At 43.7% G+C, this 23,399-nt stretch overlaps 1 long non-coding RNA gene across 1 annotated transcript in view; it reads left to right on the top strand.

Moving 5' to 3' along the window:
• Positions 1 to 23,399, top strand: part of HECTD2-AS1 (HECTD2 antisense RNA 1) — a 304,499-nt gene that overhangs the window by 68,408 nt on the left and 212,692 nt on the right. Inside the window, exons 2-3 of the long non-coding RNA NR_024467.1 lie at positions 3,475 to 3,668; positions 17,904 to 18,025. This is a non-coding gene — a long non-coding RNA (HECTD2 antisense RNA 1). The remainder of the gene's footprint in view (positions 1 to 3,474; positions 3,669 to 17,903; positions 18,026 to 23,399) is intronic.

Genomic DNA, 23,399 nt, shown 5'->3' with positions numbered 1-23,399 from the left:
CCTCAGCCTCCAGAGTAGCTGGGACTACAGGTTCACGTCACCATGCCCAGCTAATTTTTAAAGAAATTTTGTGTAGAGTTGGAGTCTCACTATGTTGCGAGTTGGGGTCTTGCTAGGTTGCCCAGGCTAGTGTCAAACACCTGGCCTCAAGCAGTTCTCACATTTGGCCTCCCAAAGTGCTGGAATTAAGGCATGAGCTACCATCACCCGGCCACATTCTGCTTCTTAAACGTCCCTCCAACACTCTGTCACTTGAGACTTTTCACTGCTCTTTGCTATGCCTAGGAATCCTGGCCTCTTGCCATCTTGTCGGGTCCCCCATCTTCCCCTTGCAGCAATGTCTCCCCATTCTTGTGCTCCTTGTTGCCTTCTTCTGGGATTGCCTATGGAAACTTCAACGTCTTACATCATTAGGCAAGGAACCTAGTTCCTTAAGTCTGACTACTTTGCCTCAGCACCATGCTCTATGACTTCTTACTGCTGTGAAAGGACTCATCAGAGTGTTTTGTTTAAGTCAGAGTTCCTCACTTCCCCAAACTACCATTTCTATATCCTCTATTGCTCTGCCACCGTCCTGTTCCAGGCCAGCACAATTGTTCACCTGGCCCATTACAATAGCCTTATACCTGCCTCCCGGATGCCATGCTTGGCTTTCTTCACCCCATACTCTCCAGCCAGAGCATTCTTTCCAAGATGATCATGTCATCACACCACTTCCCTGCTAAAAATGCATCAGTGGGGCTGGGTGCAGTGGCTCACGCCTGTAATCCCAGCACTTTGGGAGGCCAAGGAGGGCGGATCACCTGAGGTCGGGATTTGAGACCAGCCTGGCCAACATGGTGAAACTCCATCTACATTAAAAATACAAAAATTAGCTGGGTGTGGTTGTGGGCACCTCTAATCTCAGCTACTTGGGAGGCTGACGCAGGAGAATGGCTTGAACTTGGGAGGTGGAGGTTGCAGTGAGCCGCACCACTGCACTCCAGCCTGGGTGACAGAGTGAAACTCCATCTTATAAATAAATAAATGCTGCATTACATTCAAATGCAGGTGTCAGGATCCTGCCATTTCAAAGGGGAAAAAGAAAAAAAAAAAGTGCATTCAGAGCTGCCCAGCTGGTGCTTATAGAAACACTGCTCTGAGATGTTTCTTTCTCTACCCAGGAGAAAATATTTTTTAAGCCACGTTTCCAGAATTATATAGTTGCATGCGAAATGCCTCAGCTCCTGCTGATGAAGTGATTTCTGCAGAGAACTGGCTGCCTTCCAAGAGGAAGGAAGGGCTCCTGAGATGCCTCCGAAAAAGATGAAAGAATTTCCAAAATAGCAGCTTAATGTTGTACCACATATGGGATTTTCAAATTTACAGCTGGTTAGGAAATGATTTCCGGCTTCAAACCATTTGAGTTACTGTCTCCATGGCTTCAAGCACCCAGAACTTCATTTGTCTCCTCGTTGCCAGGGGTTTCTCTGCCTTTTTCCTCCCCCGCTGCTCCTTCCTGTTGATTATTTTCAGTTGTGTGATACTAGCATTTGACTAAGTGTCCACATAGAATATAAGCTCCATGGAGGTGGTGCCACATCAGGGCTTTGTCTCTTTGGGTGAAAATAGCTGGATCTTAATATATATTCTTGAATTAATGAGTTCCTGATCAAAAGCTTGCATACTAATCAAAAAAGCATATGAGAAAGAATCACCCATTGATATAAAAAAGAAGACTAATATCAACCTAAACCCTTCACTTAAATACACTCACTCATGCCCGTATTACACACACACCCTGTTCCAGCTAATGTTGCTGCTTAACAAACCACCCCAAAATTTAGTGGCTTAAAACAACAACCTTTTTTAAAATTATGGTCATAGATTCTATGGGTCAGGGCACAAAGACAGGGCACAAAGGGTGTGGCATGCCTCTGCTGCATGATATCCGGGACCTCAGCTGGGAAGACTCAAAGGCCTTAGACAGGGCACAAAGGGTGTGGCATGCCTCTGCTGCATGATATCCGGGACCTCAGCTGGGAAGACTCAAAGGCTTAGGTGACTCGACAGGTGGGGCTGGAATCATCCTGAGGCTTCTAGGCTGCTATGACTTGAAGACCAGGACTGCTGACGAGAGTACCTACGTATGACCTCTCTGTGTGGCTTGGGCTTCCTCATAACATGGCAGCCTCAGGGTAGCTGGACTTCTTACATGGCTGGAACTGTTCCAGTAGCAAGACAGAAGCTGCATCACTTTTTATGACTCGGCCCCAGATGTCACACTGGTCATTTCCTGCCATACTCTATTAGTCAAAGCAGTTCCAGGGCCACTGAGATTCAAAGGGAAGGGAAACTGACACTGCCTCCCGATGGGGTCATGGCAAGGTCACATTGTAGAAGAGAATGTAGGATGGGTGATATTTTTGTAGCCATCTTTGGAAAATACAATCTGGCCCACTCTCTCAAGCTTCACCTGCTGATATCTGGGTAACCAACTTCTCTGTGTTGGACACTAGGGGATGAGACATTCAAATCACCTAAATCACCTGCAGTCAAGGTAATGCCAGGCTCATTCTGAATCTCTGTGGGGTGTGGGGAGGGTTATGTTTTTCTTTTCAAGAAAGAGTCCCTGTCTTTTTCTTCTTAATCATGATTGATTTTGGCTTAGAAAATGATGTTTTTAATGCAAATACGTAGGCGACATGAAACCAATATTTCCCACCTGTGTTATTTACTAAGACTTTAATAAATGTACTGATATGGTTTGGCTGTGTCCCCACCCAAATCTCGTCTTGTATTGTAACTCCACAATTCCCACGTGTTGTGGGAGGAACCCAGTGGGAGGTGATTGCCTTATGGGCGTGGGTCTTTCCTGCACTGTTCCTGTGATAGTGAATGAGTCTCACAAGATCTGGTGGTTTTAAAAATGGGAGTTTCCCTACACAAGCTCTGTCTTTGCCTGCCACTATCCATGTAAGACATGACTTGCTACTCCTTGCCTTCCACCGTGATTGTGAGGCCTCCCCAGCCACTTGAAACTATAAGTCCATTAAACCTCTTTCTTTTGTAAATTGCCCAGTCTCGGGTATGTATTTATCAGCAGTGTGAAAACAGACTAATACATGCACCTTGGGAACAAAGGGTAAAAAGTTTGGAAAAAGCTTTATAAATGATACTTTCCCCTTAGAAATTAATGCACTTTATTATCATAAAGACTCTAAGAATTCTGGCAGTAAAGAAATCTTTCAATTTTATTTAATTTGGGCACCTACTGGGTGGTCAACAAAATATTTATTTCCACCCCGGCATGATCTCTGATGAATTGGGGCTTTCCGGGCCTTGATTTCTTCATCTATAAGGTGTGATTTGAATGTCTCTTTAGAATAACGTCACTTGTAAAAGGTGCCCAGCAAATGGTAGCTCTTATTAGCATTATTAAGCTGTTCTGGCTTCTTTTTACAGGAAATCAACTGCCTCTTCATTCTTCCCCAGGCCTTCACAATGAACAGAAAGCTGCAGTTTCCTCCTCTGTATTCTTTCTCCACTCCCACTCGCCTCATGTACCCCACTGACCCAGGTATGAGAAACCCAGCCTGCACCTTCTATAGCACCACATGCCTAGACTGAGGAAAGATCCACAAATGCCACTCTTCTTCGAATAGCCTACCTTCATGAAGTCTCACCAAGTAAGTGGGACCATTTTGTGAAGACAAGATACCTAATGAAAGGAAATTGTGGAGTGGAAGGTGCTTAATTCCATCTGCTTCACATCCCCCCACACCTACTCCTTAGGCCCCAGAGCACTTTCCCCGCCTCCTCCGAGCAGGACCTGCAGCCTCACTATGCTCTGTCACAGCTGGGTTCATCCCCACCAAGGGGCCCTGGTTTTCCAGGGAAACAGGCAACCAGGGAGACTGCCACACATACAAACAATATGGCGGGGTGAGAGGAGGGTCTGCAGGGCACACCTGGAGCTGAGCTTTAAGGCTCGAGCTGATACATGGGGCAGGAGTAACCGGGCAGGAGAAAGAACACAAATCTGGCCCAGGATACCTGGATACCTGTCCAACTTTGCCCCTTCCTTGGTGTTGACCCAGGGCAAGTCACCTGCCCTCACTGGGCCTCAGTTTTCCTCACCTTAAAATAGTGCTGGGGCAGGACTTTGACACACAGATGATGGATTAGTTTAACTTTGGAAAATAGTGTGGTACCTCATAAAGATGGGGTGAGCATCTGCACACCCCATGACTCAGAAATTCCAAAAGACACCTACAAGAATGTGCAGAGCAGCACTTTTGTAATAGCACCAGACTGGAAATTACCTGAATGTCCATTTACTGTGAATGGATAAATATGTTGTACTATATTCAGACAGTGAAATGCTATGTAACAATGAAAAAGCTATGAGCTACAATTATATGCAAGATCACTGGAAGAATCTCACAGACACGGTGTTGAGAAAAAAAGGTACAAATATTAATACTACATGATTCCATTTATATAAAGATCCAAACACAGAAAAATACCTCAATTTCAGACGTGAGAAATAAGGACGGTAGTTATCTTCGGGGTCTAGCATCTGCAAGGAGGTATAGTGGTGCTTCTAGGGTGATGTTCTCTTTCTTGATACGGGTGCAGATTACTTAAACTTTATTAAAAATTTACCAAACAAAAATGTTCTGGGTGATGCAGTGATTTAGTGGGAAAATCTCAGAAGTGGAAATTAGAGACCAGAGTCCTGTTCCCAGCTCTGCATTGACCATCTCATGACCTTGGGCAAGTTGCTTCCCTTCTTTGGGCCTCATTTTCTGACATTTGTAAAGTGAGAGAGTTGAGTTAGATGACATCAAAGGTCTGGTGGTCTCCAGGGCAGCTATCAGTTCCCTAAAACAACCCCAAATCAACCCACAGCAGCGTGCTTGTCATGCATACCACGCATCAAGACAATTCCCCTTCCAGATCACTCACCCTAAGCAACACCAATTTAGAAGACCTAGAGTGGTCACTGAAGGTCCATTTACTCTTGCCCATCAGTCACATGAGGTTGTTGTGAGGAACCAGTGTGACAGTGTATGGCAAAGATGCTGTGTAAACTGGACAGAGATGATTTACTATTGTGTTACCATAACAGCTCTAAGGCAAGGTCATAGTCTAACTTGTCTTTGGCATGATTGAGTTGAGGAGTGGGTGTACTATTGATGATACCATTGATTACTTGAACTTGTAAACAGTCTTTTAGGAAGAAAGTTTTAGACAAACAGGCTGGAATTCATGGGATGGAGATCGTTGTTGAAATCAGTTCAGCAAACAGAAATTTCCACAAAGCTTTTGCAACATTGGGCAGAATGTTCTCCCGATGAAAGGGAGCAGATGGTTGTGGCTGTCCTGTCTGTGGTCCCTATGAGACCCTTATCTTGTGAACCCACATAGAACATTTGGGATTTGGCCAGTGAGTGCCACCTGCCAGTCAGCCCAGGCTATGTGAGCTCCCATGCAGTGAGAGTTGCCAATGTTTATTAAGTGCTTACTAAATGTCAGGGACTATGCTAATGTCTTACAAGCTTGTTCCATTTAGCCCTCCTAATGGCCCTCTGAGTTGGGTCCTATTATCATTCCCATTGTATAGGTGAATAAACTGAAGTTCAGAAAGGGCACATACTTTGCTAAGATTTGAATCCACATCTTCTGACTCCATAGCTCATGTCCTAGATCCTCCTGTAGCCCTTGGCCTCAGAGAGTTTACACTGTTGCCTCCACCATGGAAATAATGCCTATTGAGCATCCACAAGGAGGCAAGCACCAAATGCACAATCCCTAGATCTTCAGGCCCTGTGAGGTTCAGGTGGGTATTGTTATCCTTGCTTTATAGGTGAAACTGGGTCCAGAGATGTTAACAAGTACAAAGTCACACACAGGAAGTGAACATTTTTAATCTGCTTGGCCTAGCCCAGGAGTCCTTGCTCTTCATCCCTCTGCCCTCCTGATCCTCCCTGAGCCTTCACTTAGAAACGATTCCTCCCTTCTTGGGCTCTGTGGCTCTTTTAGTCTCTCCTACAGGGCATACAGCCATGAACTCTATGTGAACCAGTGCATATAAATCCTATCTTCCTACTAGGTGGAGAGCTTTGAAAGGGTAAGGCTAGGGTTATTTCATCTTGTGTTTTCTTTGTCCCCAGGCCAAGGGAGCAGAGAAGACATGCTAAGTTGCATGGGGTTCAGAGCTGGACTATAGAGAATCTGGTTGTAGAGTTCTTGGGAAGAATTTTGGGGGTCGAGACTACCAAGAAGGATCCTGAGATCTTATTGGCAGAGGGTAGTGAATTGGGACAAAGATCTCTGTTGGAGGGAGGACAGTAGGAATTCTAGTGCTTTGGTGATTAACGGCCTGGAGAAGTACTTTGGAAGAAATAGGGAAAAGTAGTAGGGATGGGGGTGCAGGGAAAAGACATGGAAGAGGCTCAAACAGTTGATGCCAACCAATAATCATAGTGTGAGGTGCTTCGTAGAGACCCACCACTCTCACATTCTTTTCTCTTTGGACTGCCCTTTCAGAGACACCAGGAGGACCGTGGCTTCACCCCACTGTCACTCCTCTGTCCACATGGTTTTCCCTCAGTGCTGTGCAGAGGCTTGGCTGGAGGCTTCAGGCATACTGAGCAGAGGCAGAGGGTGGATCATGGAGAAAGAAAAGGCAGAGGCCATCCTAATCACGCGATGCAGCGCTGGCCACCCCACACTGAGGAGCCAGGGATGCAAAGCCATCTGGCAAACTGTCTAGGGCCAGTAATGATACAACTGCAGGCCAAGCTGTTGCAAGTTGACATGGCTCCAAGAGATCTTGAAAAGAGGAAAAGCAGCTGTGTTTTTTATTTATTTATTTTTTTATTTTTTAAATACTCAACAAATTTAATCATCAGAGAAATGCAAATAAAAACCACAATGAGACATCACATCACAACTCTCAGATTGGCTATTATTATGTATATTTCAAAACAGCTAAAAAAGAGAGGATTTTAAATGTTCTCACTACAAAGAAATGACAAATATTTGAGATGATGGATATGCTAATTACCCTGATATGATCAATTCACAATGTATACATGCATCAAAATGTAATATTGTACCCCATTAATATATACAATTATCATTTATCACTTAAAAATAAAATAAAACTTTAAGAATCGTGAGGTTAAATACACCTTATACATTGCTAGAGGAGCATAAAGCATACTTACATTGGTTAAGGATTTGCTCATCTCCTTAACATCTTTTTTTAATTTATATATATATATTTTATTATACTTTCAGTTCTAGGTTACGTGTGCACAAGTTGCAGGTTTGTTACATGTGTATACATGTGCCATGTTGGTGTGCTGCACCCATTAACTTGTCATTTACATTAGGTATATCTCCTAATGCTATCCCTCCCCACTCCCCCCACCCCACAACAGGCCCCAGTGTGTGATGTTCCCCTTTCTGTGTCCAAGTGTTCTCATTGTTCAATTTCCACCTGTGAGTGAGAACATGTGGTGTTTGGTTTTTTGTCCTTATGATAGTTTGCTGAGAATGATGGTTTCCAGCTTCATCCATGTCCCTACAAAGGACATGAACTCATCCTTTTTTATGACTGCATAGTATTCCATGGTGTATATGTGCCACATTTTCTTAATCCAGTCTATCATTGTTGGACATTTGGGTTGGTTCCAAGTCTTTGCTATTGTGAATGGTGCTGCAATAAACATACGTGTGCATGTGTCTTTATAGCAGCATAATTTATATTCCTTTGGGTATATACCCAGTAATGGGATGACTGGGTCAAATGGTATTTCTAGTTCTAGATCCCTGAGGAATCGCCACACTGACTTCCACAATGGTTGAACTAGTTTACAGTCCCACCAACAGTGTAAAAGTGTTCCTATTTCTCCACATCCTCTCCAGCACCTGTTGTTTCCTGACTTTTTAATGATCGCCATTCTAACTGGTGTGAGATGATATCTCATTGTGGTTTTGATTTGCATTTCTCTGATGGCCAGTGATGATGAGCATCTTTTCATGTGTCTGTTGGCTGCATAAATATCTTCTTTTGAGAAGTGTCTGTTCATATCCTTTGCCCACTTGTTGATGGGGTTGTTTGTTTTTTCTTGTAAATGTGTTTGAGTTCTTTGTAGATTCTGGATATGAGCCCTTTGTCAGATGAATAGATTGCAAAAATTTTCTCCCATTCTGTAGATCACTCTGATGGTAGTTTCTTTTGCTGTGCAGAAGCTCTTTAGTTTACTTAGATCCTATTTGTCAATTTTGACTTTTTGTTGCCATTGCTTTTGGTGCTTTAGCCATGAAGTCCTTGCCCATGCCTTTGTCCTGAATGGTATTGCCTAGGTTTTCTTCTAGGGTTTTTATGGTTTTAGGTCTAACATTTAAGTCTTTAATCCACCTTGAATTAATTTTTGTATAAGGTGTAAGGAAGGGATCCAGTTTCAGCTTTCTACATATGGCTAGCCAGTTTTCCCAGCACCATTTGTTAAATAGGGAATCCTTTCCCCATTTCTTGTTTTTGTCAGGTTTGTCAAAGATCAGATAGTTGTAGATGTGTGGTATTATTTCTGAGGGCTCTGTTCTGTTCCATTGGTCTATATCTCTGTTTTGGTACCAGTACCATGCTGTTTTGGTTACTGTAGCCTTGTAGTATAGTTTGAAGTCAGGTAGCGTGATGCCTCCAGCTTTGTTCTTTTGGCTTAGGATTGACTTGGGAATGTGGGCTCTTTTTTGGATCCATATGAACTTTAAAGAATTTTTTTCCAATTCTGTGAAGAAAGTCATTGGTAGCTTGATGGGGTGGCATTGAATCTATAAATTACCTCGGGCAGTATGACCATTTTCACAATATTGATTCTTCCTATCCATGAGCATGGAATGTTCTTGCATTTGTTTGTTTCCTCTTTTATTTCATTGAGCAGTGGTTTGTAGTTCTCCTTGAAGAGTTCCTCCACATCCCTTGTGAGTTGGATTCCTAGGTATTTTATTCTCTTTGAAGCAATTGTGAATGGGAGTTCACTCATGATTTGGCTCTCTGTTTGTCTGTTATTGGTGTATAAGAATGCTTGTGATTTTTGCACATTGATTTTGTATCCTGAGACTTTGCTGAAGTTGCTTATCAGCTTAAGGAGATTTTGGGCTGAGACGATGGGGTTTTCTAAATATACAATCATGTCATCTGCAAACAGGGACAATTTGACTTCCTCTTTTCCCAATTGAATACCCTTTATTTCTTTCTCCTGCCTGATTGCCCTGGCCAGAACTTCCAACACTGTGTTGAATAGGAGTGGTGAGAGAGGGCATCCCTGTCTTGTGCCAGTTTTGAAAGGGAATGCTTCCAATTTTTGCCCATTCAGTATGATATTGTCTGTGGGTTTGTCATAAATAGCTCTTATTATTTTGACATATGTCCTATCAATACCTAATTTATTGAGAGTTTTTAGCATGAAGGGTTGTTGAATTTTGTCAAAGGCCTTTTCTGCATCTATTGAGATAATCATGTGGCTTTTGTCTTTGGTTCTGTTTATATGCTGGATTATGTTATTGATTTGTGTATGTTGAACCACCCTTGCATCCCAGGGATGAAGCCCACTTGATCATGGTGGATAAGCTTTTTGATGTGCTGCTGGATTCGGTTTGCCAGTATTTTATTGAGGATTTTTGCATCGATGTTCATCAGGGATATTGGTCTAAAATTCTCTTTTTTTGTTGTGTCTCTGCCAGGCTTTGGTATCAGGATGATGCTGGCCTCATAAAATGAGTTAGGGAGGATTCCCTCTTTTCCTATTGATTGGAATAGTTTCAGAAGGTATGGTACCAGCTCCTCCTTGTACCTCTGGTAGAATTCGGCTGTGAATCCGTCTGGTCCTGGACTTTTTTTGGTTGGTAAGCTATTAATTATTGCCTCAATTTCAGAGCCTGTTATTGGTCTATTCAGAGATTCAACTTCTTCCTAGTTTAGTCTTGGGAGGGTGTATGTGTCCAGGAATTTATCCATTTCTTCTAGATTTTCTAGTTTATTTGCGCAGAGGTGTTTATAGTATTCTCTGATGGTAGTTCGTATTTCTGTGGGATCGGTGGTGATATCCCCTTTATCATTTTTTATTGCATCTATTTGATTCTTCTCTCTTTTCTTCTTTATTAGTCTTGCTAGTGGTCTATCAATTTTGTTGATGTTTTCAAAAAACCAGCTCCTGGATTCATTGATTTTTTGAAGGGTTTTTTGTGTCTCTATCTCCTTCAGTTCTGCTCTGATCTTAGTTATTTCTTGCCTTCTGCTAGCTTTTGAATGTGTTTGCTCTTGCTTCTCTAGTTCTTTTAATTGGGATGTTAGGGTGTCAATTTTAGATCTTTCCTGCTTTCTCCTGTGGGCATTTATTGCTATACATTTCCCTCTACACACTGCTTTAAATGTGCCCCAGAGATTCTGGTATGTTGTGTCTTTATTTTCATTGGTTTCAAAGAACATCTTTATTTCTGCCTTCATTTCGTTATGTACCCAGTAGTCATTCAGGAGTAGGTTGTTCAGTTTCCATGTAGTTCAGTGGTTTTGAGTGAGTTTCTTATTCCTGAGTTCTAGTTTGATTGCACTGTGGTCTGAGAGGCAGTTTGTTATAATTTCTGTTCTTTTACATTTGCTGAGGAGTGCTTTACTTCCAACTATGTGGTCAGTTTTGGAATAGGTGCCGTGTGGTGCTGAGAAGAATGTATATTCTGTTGATTTGGGGTGGAGAGTTCTGTAGATGTCTATTAGGTCCGCTTGGTGCAGAGCTGAGTTCAATTCCTGGATATCCTTGTTAACTTTCTGTCTTGTTGATCTGTCTAATGTTGACAGTGGGGTGTTAAAGTCTCCCATTGTTATTGTGTGGGAATCTAAGTCTCTTTGTAGGTCTCTAAGGACTTGCTTTATGAATCTGGGTGCTCCTGTATTGGGTGCATATATATTTAGGATAGTTAGCTCTTCTTGTTGAATTGATCCCTTTACTATTATCTAATGGCCTTCTTTGTCTCTTTTGATCTTTGTTGGTTTAAAGTCTGTTTTATCAGAGACTAGGATTGCAACCCCTGCCTTTTTTTGTTTTCCATTTGCTTGGTAGATCTTCCTCCATCCCTTTATTCTGAGCCTATGTGTGTCTCTGCACGTGAGATGGGTTTCCTGAATACAGCACACTGATGGGTCTTGACTCTTTATCCAATTTGCCAGTCTGTGTCTTCTATTTGGAGCATTTAGCCCATTTACATTTAAGGTTAATATTGTTATGCGTGAATTTGATCCTGTCATTATGATGTTAGCTGGTTATTTTGCTCATTAGTTGATGCAGTTTCTTCCTAGCATCAATGGTCTTTACAATTTGGCATGTTTTTGCAGTGGCTGGTACCGGTTGTTCCTTTCCATGTTTAGTGCTTCCTTCAGGAGCTCTTGTAGGGCAGTCCTGGTGGTGACAAAATCTCTCAGCATTTGCTTGTCTGTAAAGTATTTTATTTCTTCTTCACTTATGAAGCTTAGTTTGGCTGGATACGAAATTCTGGATTGAAAATTCTTTTCTCTAAGAACGTTGAATATTGGCCCCCACTCTCTTCCGGCTTGTAGAGTTTCTGCTGAGAGATCAGCTGTTAGTCTGATGGGCTTCCCTTTGTGGGTAACCCGACCTTTCTGTCTGGCTGCCCTTAACATTTTTTCCTTCGTTTCAACCTTGGTGAATCTCACAATTATGTGTCTTGGAGTTGCTCTTCTCAAGGAGTATCTTTGTGGAGTTCTCTGTATTTCCTGAATTTGAATGTTGGCCTGCCTTGCTAGGTTGGGGAAGTTCTCCTGGATAATATTCTGCAGAGTGTTTTCCAACTTGGTTCCATTCGAGGAAGAGCAGCTTTGTAAAGGTCAATCTTCCTGGGGAAATAGGGTGGAGCCTAGTGTGGCCCTTGTCAGGTGTGTGATGGGGCAGGTCATGCTCTCCTCCCCTTAGGCTCCTCCTGCAGCCTCACACTGAGGAGCTGGATTAGATGGGGGACTTTTTCTACTTATTAGGGCTCTAGAAGGTCTGAAGTTCTGCAAAGAGGCCATGAGAGAAGTAAGAAGCTGGGTGGTAGGAGCCCTGAAACCCTCACCCTCATTTCAATGAAGCAGCTCCTCTCCCACCTGCTTTCTGTGTTTAGCTGATCATGGTCCCAGAAAGACTCTTTGTTCCTGCCTGTGCCATCCATAAAACTGATGTGAGGGCTGAGCAATCTTCCTCTCTATTCTCCTTCTGTGGATAGTGCATGTACACACAAAATCACAAGGAAAATTCACTCAGTTCTCTACTGTAGGCTCACAGTGATGTATTAGAAAGTTCAGCTGGGTACAGTGGCTCACGCCTGTAATCCCAGCACTTTGGGAGGCTGAGATGGGCGGATCACGTGAGGTCAGGAGTTTGAGACCAGCCTGGCCAACATGATGAAACCCCATCTCCACTAAAAATACAAAAATCAGCCGGGCGTGGTGGCCCGTGCTTGTAATCCCAGCTACTCGGGAGGCTGAGACAGAAGAATCGCTTGAACCCAGGAGGCGGAGGTTGCAGTGAGCCAAGATCATACCATTGCACTCCAGCCTGGGCAACAAGAGCAAAACTCCATCTCAAAAAAAAAGAAAATTCAGACTACAGAAAGGAATGAAAGGCTCTTTGTCTAGAGGCCTCATTTGAGGACAGTTCCATCAGCATGGGGCCTGTCTGCCAGTGCACTGGAATGCCTCAGGTGAGTCAGTCAAGCAGTGTTCCCCAGGCTCCTGCTTCTCTTCTACACACCCTTCTCTGCACCTACTCAGGGCCCTGGACTAGTTTAGTTCATCCCGTAGTCCACTCCCCTAGACCAGGTCATCTTCAAACCTTGGGAAGGAAAGGGAAGGGAAGGGAATGCTGTGATGCTTCATCCCACTCCAGGGCTGGAGAGGGAGGGGGAAGGCTGGCAAGGTGGCTGGGGACCCAGGGAACCACTTGCCTTTTTGTGTTTTCTCGCATATCCTGGATGGCTAAATGGAAAATCTGGTGCAGCAAAAGCAGTTACTCTCCTGAAAAGGTGACCAGATCTTTATGGGCTTTATTTGCCCTAAGATCATCCATCTCCTTTGCAATCTTGCTTACAAAGTTTCCGGTGGTATGAATGTTCCCTCCTGGGTGGTCCCTGAGTTCTAACTCAGCCTAGAGGGTCTCTGGTTCTATGGGTTCCATCCTTCCTCAAAGCCAGCCACAGTAAGAGGCAAGAAAGAGAAGACCTTCAACAAATCAACTTTCAGTGGCACAAAAATGACTTCGCCATAGCCCCTTTGCATCTGCATATAGAAGCTCAGAAGGAACACAATCCTTCCATTGAAAAATAACACCTCCTGAAGTCCCAGACCTGGTCTTGTATCCTCCCAACACTCCAACACTGCCATCACAAATAGGATTTTAGGTAGAAGACCTGGGTGGGGACTGTCTCCCCGTTTATCAAAACTGGCTTTTTAGCCAGTGAGGGAGTGGGAGGCCTCCTTTTTCAAGGCCTTCTCTGTGCTCTTGGGTGGGATGGAAGGACCAGCCTTTTGGTACAGAGATGATCTGATTGTTTCCCCCATTGTTGTGTCCTTGAAAGGTGGAACTGATGAGAGCAAAACTCTAGACAGCTCTGGAGGAGGTGCTTTGGTTGTGAGAGGAGGCTGAATCTGAATAGGTGCTCTAGTTCTTATTCATTTCATCCCTGTAGAAGAAAGCACATGCTTCCAGCTTTCAAGAGAATGAAGCAGTGCAGTGGCTGGATCCATATGGTGTCACTGGGATTCGAGTTCATTGGAGACAAAGCTTGATGACTTCCTGGGGACAGACTTTGTTCATAAGTAGTGAAAGCCTGTTTTTTTTCTGGCCCCTTGGGGTGTCACACAGAAGCAATACTGTGCTGCTCACTAATGCTCTATGTCCCCATCATCCTGTGCTGGATGCCCTTTCATGGTTGGGGGAGAGTATGGTGGCTGCACCAACACCAGCAAAGGGTATGATAAGAAAGTGCCAGGTGGTGCCTCCAGGCTGGTTATCAGCTGGACTGCAAGAAAGTGCCAGGTGGTGCCTCCAGGCTGGTTATCAGCTGGACTGCCTTTCTGCACAGACTCCAGGTCTTTGTGAGCCCCAGGCAAATGCCCTATCCTGAGACTCTGGGTGGATCTCGGGCTTTTTCTGTGACCCTTCCAGCTCACCTGGTGCTGGGTGGGTGAAGTAAACAACCTCAGTGATTTGTCTGCACCCATGTTCTCATTGGCCAGAACCATTCTGAGGTCCATGAATCATATCGCATTCAGTTCTGTCAGGAGAAAGGCCTGGTTGTAAAACTTTAGGGAACCAAGGCTCCCTAAGAAATTGTCAAGACTACAGCGTTAACAAAGATGAAGTGGCTTTGCAATGGGAACAGCCCAGCCCCTCAAACTTTTGATCCATTTGTTACACATGCATCTCTGAGCTAACCGCTAAATGCTCCCCATCACTCCCCACAATCCCCAGTGTCCCAGCCCAAGGTGAAGAGAGGCATGAGCGGGCCATTACTGCACATCTGGGCCCAGCAAACTCTGAGGAATCCAGATTGGAATCCCAGGAAGGATCTTATTCAGTAGTTGACCACAGAATAGCCGAGTGGGAAGAATGTGACTTTGGGAGTCCCACGCATCTGCCTTGAATCCAAGCTCTGCTGCTTGCTAGCTGGTGACCTAGTTCTGGGCCTCAGGGTATGACAATGGGGGCTTATGTTCAGTGACCTGCAGGGTCCCTCCCTCTTGAAAGCTCGGGGGTTCTGCCCCGAGGAGTAGGAACTGACCTATTTTACTGGCATGTACTGAGTGTTTTCCAAAACAAAGTCTGGTTACTAATTACCTGACCTACATTCCCTGTGATTGCAATGGCAGGTGGCATATCTGCACATTTCTAAGGAGGAACTGGAAAGGAGCTAATAGGAAGCACTTAGAGGCGAGGCCCTAAGGCTCGTATTGGTTGGGCAGAATTCTGAAATTCTGATTGATGCTATTCTCCATCAACGAAAAGGGGATTTTGGAAGATCCCCTTAGTCTTTAAACACAGAGAAGCACTGTCCTAATATTTTCCTGGTTATAAAAAATAATATGAGCTTATTCTATATATTACATTGCAGGCATGATGGCTCAGGAAGCCTACTGCTGCCTTCCCCCTGCTTCCTCAGCCCCCAGGATAATGTGGTTAACCGTTTGGCTTATATTCTTGTGGGTATTTTCTCCATAGAAACAAACATATAAATCTATTATCTTATGAAGATGAGATCACAGTACACATGCTGATTTGCAGGTTGCTTTTTATACTTAACTGTGTATTTTGGACATTTGTCCATGTCTGTACATGTGATCTATTTTATTCCTTTTAATAAGACATCTTAATGCATTGGGAAATCTAGAAAAGGGAAGAAACCATGAAGCATATAAAGCTTTTCTTTCATTTTAAATATTATTTCTGTATTGGGAAGAGCAGAACATCTGAAATTGTTTTCAAATACTTTAAATAGCATTTACATTTTAAAAATCACAGGAATGATAGTTGTACTGTTGTAGAAAATCAGTGAATACATGGGAAAGACTCAGTATGCCATTCTGACCATTCCTTATTATTATGTCCATTTTGTCTTCAATTCAACTATTCAGATAATAAAAATCTTTCTGTGGTAGGAAAAATACTGGCCCCCAAAGATGTTCATGCCCCAGTCTCACGAAGCTGTGAATGTTACCTTACATGGCAAGTGGGACTCTGCCGATATGATTGAATGAAGGATTTTGAGATGGGTAAATTATTCTGGATTATCTGAATGGGCCCCAGGTAATCACAGAGGCCCTTGTGAGTGAAAGAGGGAGGCAGGAGAGTTGATGACACCCTGTGGCTTTGAAGATGAGGAAAGGGGTCACCAGCCAAGGCCAGTGGGCAGCATCTGGAAGCTGGAAAAGGCAGGAAGCTGTTTCTCCCCTAGAGCCTCCAAAAGGGACGCAGCCCTTCTGACACCGTGATTTTAGCCCAGTAAGACCTATTTTGCACTTTTCATCTCCAGAACTGTGGGATAATAAATTTGTATGGTTTTAAGCCTCTGAATTTGTAGTAATTTGTTATAGCAGCCGTAGGAAACAAGCCCACCTTCATTCATTTGTTTGGCATGCTTACAAATGCTGCGTCTGAAACCGTGAAACCACGACACATCTTGTGATTCTGGGTGACCGGGAACTAACTAACCCAGTTCTCCATATAACATGGTCCTCTGGGGGAACCAAAGTTGGTGTGTGGAAATCTTTTTAGGTTATTGAAATCAAAAAGAAAAACGACAGGAAAAGCTATTAACTTCCAGGAGGATGTACACAGACCCTGGGAGCCCATGGACTCAAGGATTTAAAGTGCCAGAAAGGAGGTAGACTACATATACTCACCCTACTTAATGGATGAATCATGGAGGCTCTGTGAGGTTACTTGTCCAAGGTCACAGGATGAGCTAGGGCCTGAGCAAAAGATGGTCTTCTCTCTCCAGTTCTGTGATGGTTCCTTTGATCTTTAACGGGAACATGCTGGGGCTTGCCACAGGGCCATCAGCATCTTCTGACAGCCATCCACTCTCTGCCAGGCTTCCACTGAGGGGTGGCAGGCAGAAGATGGGTGGGCCCAGATTTGCCCATCCTGGGGGGACTTCCTTTGCAACCTGCTTGCTCCTCATCCACCTCAGCTGGCAGCCTGCCAAGCTCCCTGCTCAGAATCACCAGTGTGGGGTTTGGTACCCCAATCTTGGTCCCTTGTGGTTCTAGATAACAGAGCAATAACCCAGGCAGTCTCCCTGGGTGGCCACGATTTGTGTTTGGTTTGAATTTCCCAATGCCCTCCTTTGAAGGGTCAGAGCAGGGAGAGCTTGGCAGCTGCATCCTCAGCTGTGACGTGCACAGAGAGCTTCCCAACTTTTCATTTGACCACTGGAACCTCAGAAGTGACAGTTGAGTAAGAAAAGTAGGTCACTTGGTACAAAGTGGGGGATTTATTCCTAGATCTCCTTGGACCAGGAAAGTGATCATAGGCTCTTGGCACCTCAGAGGTCAATGCATAATAAACAAGGGCAGTTGTGTAACTTTTACTTAATAAATCACTGAGCACTGATTAGGTGGGCTCTGGTTGGGGCTGTTCATACTCTCAAAGAAGCCCAATTCAGCAACAAAATCTGGAGACAGAAGCCACGTTGATCAGGCACCTTCTGTCTAGGCACTTCACAGGCAGTGTTGCTAGGGTTAGGTACCTGGTATCCATCACCCCTGCTCCGCGCAGGGTTCTAATAGATGGAGTCAACACAAGGCTAACTGAAGAGCAAACTGTCTTCTATAGCATTCAACTCCCAAGTACAGGGCTCTTTTGTCAAATCAGTTTGGAGAAGATCTTGCCTGACTGCTAGCTGTCACTCAAATCTCTTTCCCCTCCTCTTAGATAACAGCTGGACTAATTTTCCAGACTCCTTCACAGTGAGGTGTGGCTGTGTGTGGTAGATGTGCAGGTATGCCTCCAGATGGGCCTTGCTGCAGCAAGTGCAGTCAGTAGACAGTCTCCTGCCATCACCTCCGTCAGGGCCGGCCTCAGCTACAGAGCCTCATCCACTTTGCCTAATGTCACACCCTTCCAGGAGCCTCCTACCTCTGGGGACCACTTGAGGCGCGGCTATTTTGGCTCAATAAAGGACACCACCAATGGGTAACATCCACTGTAGAGGTCCCCACTGGGTTGGCCGTTGGTTTGTCAGGACTGTGTCACGGCTTGACTTCTCCTTCTGCCCAATTCTGTTTCTTCTCCCTTTCCATTCACAAGTATTGACTCCTAATACTTGGAGTGAATCCATCTTGCTTTCTCCTTCAGCCCGCTGAATATGGACTCCAACGGTGCCCTAGGGGATGGTGGAGCCACCAGATGGAAGGAGCCTGGTGATCCCGAGAAGGAGAGATGCCTCGCTGACCTGAACATCTTTCCAGAACTGTTAAGTGAGTTAGAAATGAACTTCTACTATACAAAGCCGCTGAAATTTGGGCATCTGTTACTTTAGTTGGCCTACTGAAGCTTCTCTCCTCTCCTCACTTACCTCTCCAGATGCAATGGCAGGTCTTTCGGGGTGGGGGTGGGGCACTGATCAGAACTGCCTGGAAGCTCAAGTACCCACTATACCTAGGCTCAGGCAGGCCAGAGATTCCCAGAGAACGAGAGAGAAGAACAAGGCTTGAAGTGCCTTTTCTGTGCAGAAATCCATACTTTATCAAAATGTGGCCAATTGCTACCAGGCTCTCCTCAATAAAGAAGCAACTGCCCTCCCTTGGGGGCAGCAGTCAGAGTGGAGAGAAAATAAGTTCTCATTCTAACTCTCCTTGAGGGAGAGGAAAATCAAAGTCCTGTGTTTTCTGTAGGAAGGTTGGTATGCAGGAAGAGGAGCCATTTACCCAAGAATGGGAAAATTCAATTCTTTCAACAATTTATAAAGAGGTACATAATGTGGATGGATAGATGGTATATATCAGTAGATAGATTATACATAGGTAATAGAGATGGTAGACAGATAAGGATGATAGAGACAGATACATGATAGGTTGATATGTAGAGAGATGATAGGTTGGTAGCTGGATAGGTAAGTAGGTAGGAAATCGAGGCTCAGAGATATTGAGGTAGGTTCTTATGGTCATATAACTAGTATGTGACAGAGGAGGATTCAACTTTAGGTCTAGTTTGACTCAGAAGTGGGATTCAGGCTGGGCGTGGTGGCTCACCCCTGTAATCCCAGCACTTTGGGAGGCTGAGGCGGGTGGACCATTTGAGGTCAGGAGTTTGAGACTAGTTTGGCCAACATGCTGAAACCCCATCTCTACTAAAAATACAAAAAAATTAGGCAGGTGTGGTGGCACATGTCTGTAGTCCCAGCTACTGGGGAGGCTGAAGCAGGATAATTGCTTGAACCTGGGAGGTGGAGGTTGCAGTGAGCTTAGATTGCACCACTGCATCCCAGCCTGGGCTACAGAGCCAGACTCCGTCTCAAAAAAAAAAAAAAAAAAAAAAAAAAAAAAAAGTGGGCAGGTGTGCAAAACCCAGCTCCACATCCTTTCTTCCGCTGAGGATGGCAAAGAACGTGTTTCGTTTGCTCCATACACAGGGTTTCATTTGCCTGACATGATGTTTTGTTTGCTTTTGTTCTATTTTATTATGTTAAGAATTCATCTACTTGTAGCTTGAATTTTGTCATCTAGTAGGTTTTGTTTGTTTGTTTCAGGTGAGCATTTAAGGGCTGCATTCTCTAAATTCATGCATGTTCAAACATATTTTTTACTTTTTTATTTGAAGGACAACTCAGGTTGCTGCACAATTTCTTAGTAATCCCTTTTCTCAGAACTCTTGTCATGGTTTTATGACAAGTTTTCTTGCTGTTTGGGAAAATTATGGAATATCTGAAGGAAATGCATGAGAGCTAAGGTTGAACAAATTGGGTTGAACAATTGAAAGCCTTTAATCCCTGGCCAATGTGTTTTGACTTGCTGTTGTTGGCAATAGACAGCCATTGAGAGCTTCTTTTCTTTTCTTTTCATATTATTTTTTTCATCAACTTTAAGTTCCAGGGTACATGTGCAGGATGTGTAGGTTTGTTACATAGGTAAACACATGCCATGGTGATTTGCTGCACTGATTAACCCATCACTTAGGTATTAAGCCTAGCATCCATTAGCTATTCTTCCTGATGCTCTCCCTCCCTATGCCCCTTGCCTCGACAGACCCAATTGTGTGTTGTTCCTCCCATGTATCCATATGTTTTCATCGTTCGGCTTCCACTTATAAGTGAGAATATGTGACATTTGGTTTTCTGTTCCTGCGTTAGTTTGTTGAGGATAACAGCTTCCAGCTCCATCCTTGTCCCTGAAAAGGACATAATCTCATTCCTTTTTATGGCTGGATAGTATTCCATGGTATATATGTACCGTATTTTCTTTGTCCAGTCTATCATTGATGGGCATTTGGATTGATTTCATGTCTTTGCTATTGTGAATAGTGCTACAGTGAACATACACATGCATGTATCTTTATAAAAGAATGATTTATATTCCTTTGGGTACATACCTAGTAATGGGATTGCTGAGTGAAATGTTATTTCTGCTTCTAGATCTTTGAGGAATCGCCACACTGTTTTCCACAATGATTGAACTAATTTACATTCCCACCAACAGTGTAAAAGCGTTCCTTTTTCTCTGAAACCTCACCAGCATCTGTTGTGTCTTGACTTTTTAATAATAGCCATTCTGACTGGTGTGTGTGAGATGGCATCTCTTGTGTTTTTTTTTTCTTTTTTTTTCTTTTTTTTCGATGGCGTCTTGCTCTGTCTCCCAGGATGGAGTGCAGTGGCATGATCTTGGCTTACTACAGCCTCCACCTCCCAGGTTCAAGCAATTCTCCTGCCTCAGCCTCCCAAGTACCTGGGGTTACAGGTGTCTGCCACCATGCCTGGCCATTTTTTTTTTTTTTTGTATTTTTAGTAGAGATGGGGTTTCACCATGTTGGGCAGGCTGGTCGTGAACTCCTGACCTCTGGTGATCCACCTGCCTCGGCCTCCCAAAGTGCTGGGATTACAGGCGTGAGCCACTGCGCCTGGGCTCATTGTGGTTTTGATTTGCATTTCTCTAATGATCAGTGATGTTGAGTTTTTTTCATATGTTTGTTGGCTACATGAATGTCTTCTTTTGAGAAGTGTCTGTTCATGTCCTTTGCCCACTTTTTAATGGGGTTGTTTTTTTCTTGTAAATTTGTTGGAGTTCCTTGTAGACTCTGGATATGAGACCTTTGTTAGATCATTGAGAGTTTCTGAGCAATGTGGTGGTGGGTTGTATGTAGATGAATTTGAGGTGGAAGAGACCTGTCACAGAGAGACCAGATTAGAGCTACTGCAGTGATTAGGTGGTCAAGGCCTGTAAACAGGCATATGTGGCACTTTATGTACAGGTACACTGTGGATACAGAATTGATGGGACTTAGCAACTGCTTGGGTACAAAGGGACAAGGACAAAAGAGAAGGAGTTGTTAAACAACAATGCCTTGGGTTAACCTGGGGTGAGCAGGTAGATGGTGTCATTTGTAGAGCCAGAGAAAGAGTAGATGAGGAAGAGAAAAGGGGAACAGGATGGGGAGGGGGAGGAGAATAGAATGGGAGAATATGAGATCTGAGTGGCTGCATTTTTGAGGAGCTGGTGGAGCTGCCCAGAGGCTGCTGAAATCTGGAACTAGAGTTCAGAGGAGAGGTTAAGGTGAGGGACAGAGTAGAATTGGAAATAGTCCCTAAGTGTGTTGAATATGTCCAATATAGATTCTTTCTAAAGGGAAAGCCTTAGTCATTTTCTAGAAGGCATTGTGAAATCAGCCTCTGAAATTCTGCCCTACCAAACTTGTTTTCTTCTAGGAAGTGACAAAATTGTAGCCCCTGAAGAGCAGGAGAATCCTGGGCTCCATGGATTTCCCCTGCTGTTTGCAACTGCATTTGATTCCACTTTTGTGTGTTTTCCCTTTTTCGTGATTAATATTTGCTGGAAATGTATTGATTTTTCAGTCTTTTCAAGAAAACTGCTCTTGGGCTTATGTCTCAATTATACTGTTTTTATGTTTCCTCATTTATTTATTGATGCTTTTATCTCTTTTTCTCTTTATTTTTCTTTGCTACCCCTTCCCTTGAATTTTTAATTTTTTTGTTGATCCATTAATTTTATCTTTTGGTAATAAAAACACTTCGAGCTATAAATGTCCCCACAAAAACTGCTTTGCCTATATCCCAGGTAGTCAGACATATAGGCACTCACTGTCATGGTTTTATAAGTAGTCATTATTATAGACAGAATTTCTCTCTTGACCCAGAAGAAATTAGTTTGTATATTTTAAAATTCCAAGAATATACATAATTTGTTTTTGGAAGGCAGAAAGGGAAGCAAAGGGAAGTATATTATACAAGGTTACACAACCATTAAGTGTCATATTTAGGACTAGAATCCACATTGACTGACTTCTAGTCTAATCAGCAAGAAAATGTTTTCTCCACTTCCAGTGGAATGGTTCAAGCTTGGGAGTTTCTGGAAAGCCTCACTAGCTGGGGGAGCATGTGAAATGGAAAATCATGTTTTGAGTCAGACAGATGTGACTTCAACTTCTGCCTTGGCTCCTTGACAGCTGTGTGACCTTGGACAGGCTCTAGGCCTGAGTTTCAACTTCCTTGTCTGTAATATGGAGAAAATAACACGAATTTTATGCTGCTGTTGTAAAGATTAAATGAAATGTAAAATTGTGTGCATAAAATGCCACATACACCATAAGTGATCCATAAATATTTATCTCTGTTCCTTTAATTAATATCCTATAGATGCCCAAGGTACTGGATAAAAATTAAAGTAAAAGCATGCATAATCTCAGTGATAACAACGGTTAACAAAGTGCAATATCTTTTAGAACATACACATATGTATACACACATTCATACATGCACGCTCTCACGCACAGACACACACTCAAAATTTGGATTGTACCATAAAGCTACCCTGTAACCTGTTTTGTTGTTTGTTTTTTCCCTTCTCAGTTAATGTACAGTGGCCACTGCCACTCACTGCTGCTTCCTTCGGTGAATGAGCAACTTGGTAATTGGAGATGGGCAGGCTGAGGCTCTGTGTAGTTTGGAGTGGAAAGGCAGCCCAAGACTGATGGGAACACAGGGCCTGGGGTGGGGGTTCGGAGGCGTTTCCTGGAGGTTGACGGTCGGGGTGTGAGCAGGTTTGTGTGAGTCAGGGAAACAGGCTATGAATTCAAGATGAAACTACTTATCCATGCAGGTCTCTGGTTCACTATGCTGATTTGGTAGGTGTTTCACCTGCCCAGTCAAGTTAAGAAGTCAGGCAGGATTTTACCTGAGTTTACTGTCCCAGCACTGTGCCAGGTGCTAGGCAGGGACATAAGAAATACCTCTGCTCTTGAGCTGCTGATATGCACACATTTAACCACAGACCAGTGTGAAAATACGGACATCTGAGAAATGAAGATTTGTGTCAGGGGTATAAAAAAGAAGATTTGCTTTTCAGATGGATTTTGTTTGTTTGTTTGTTTCAGGGGTTGGTGATGGTTCAGGATAAGGTTTGGCAGGGGAGAGAAAATTCTTGTTTTGGGAGGCTCTGGAGGGCAGGAGACTCAGCTAAGTTGGGATAGACAGGGAGAAGAAAGGAACAGAAAGAAGACCACAGAAGGCACTAGGCTGAGCAGGCAGAGATAGGACTGAACAGGATGTGTTAAGGAGACAGTAAAGGACCTATCCTTTTGGAAGCTGGTATTAGGGAACAAAAACAAATTATGCAAAATAAA

This window comes from Homo sapiens, chromosome 10 (assembly GCF_000001405.40).
Source record: "Homo sapiens chromosome 10, GRCh38.p14 Primary Assembly".
Classification (NCBI taxonomy): domain Eukaryota; kingdom Metazoa; phylum Chordata; class Mammalia; order Primates; family Hominidae; genus Homo; species Homo sapiens.
Note: the sequence above shows the minus strand (reverse complement) of the source record. Positions and strands in the feature narration are given on the sequence as shown.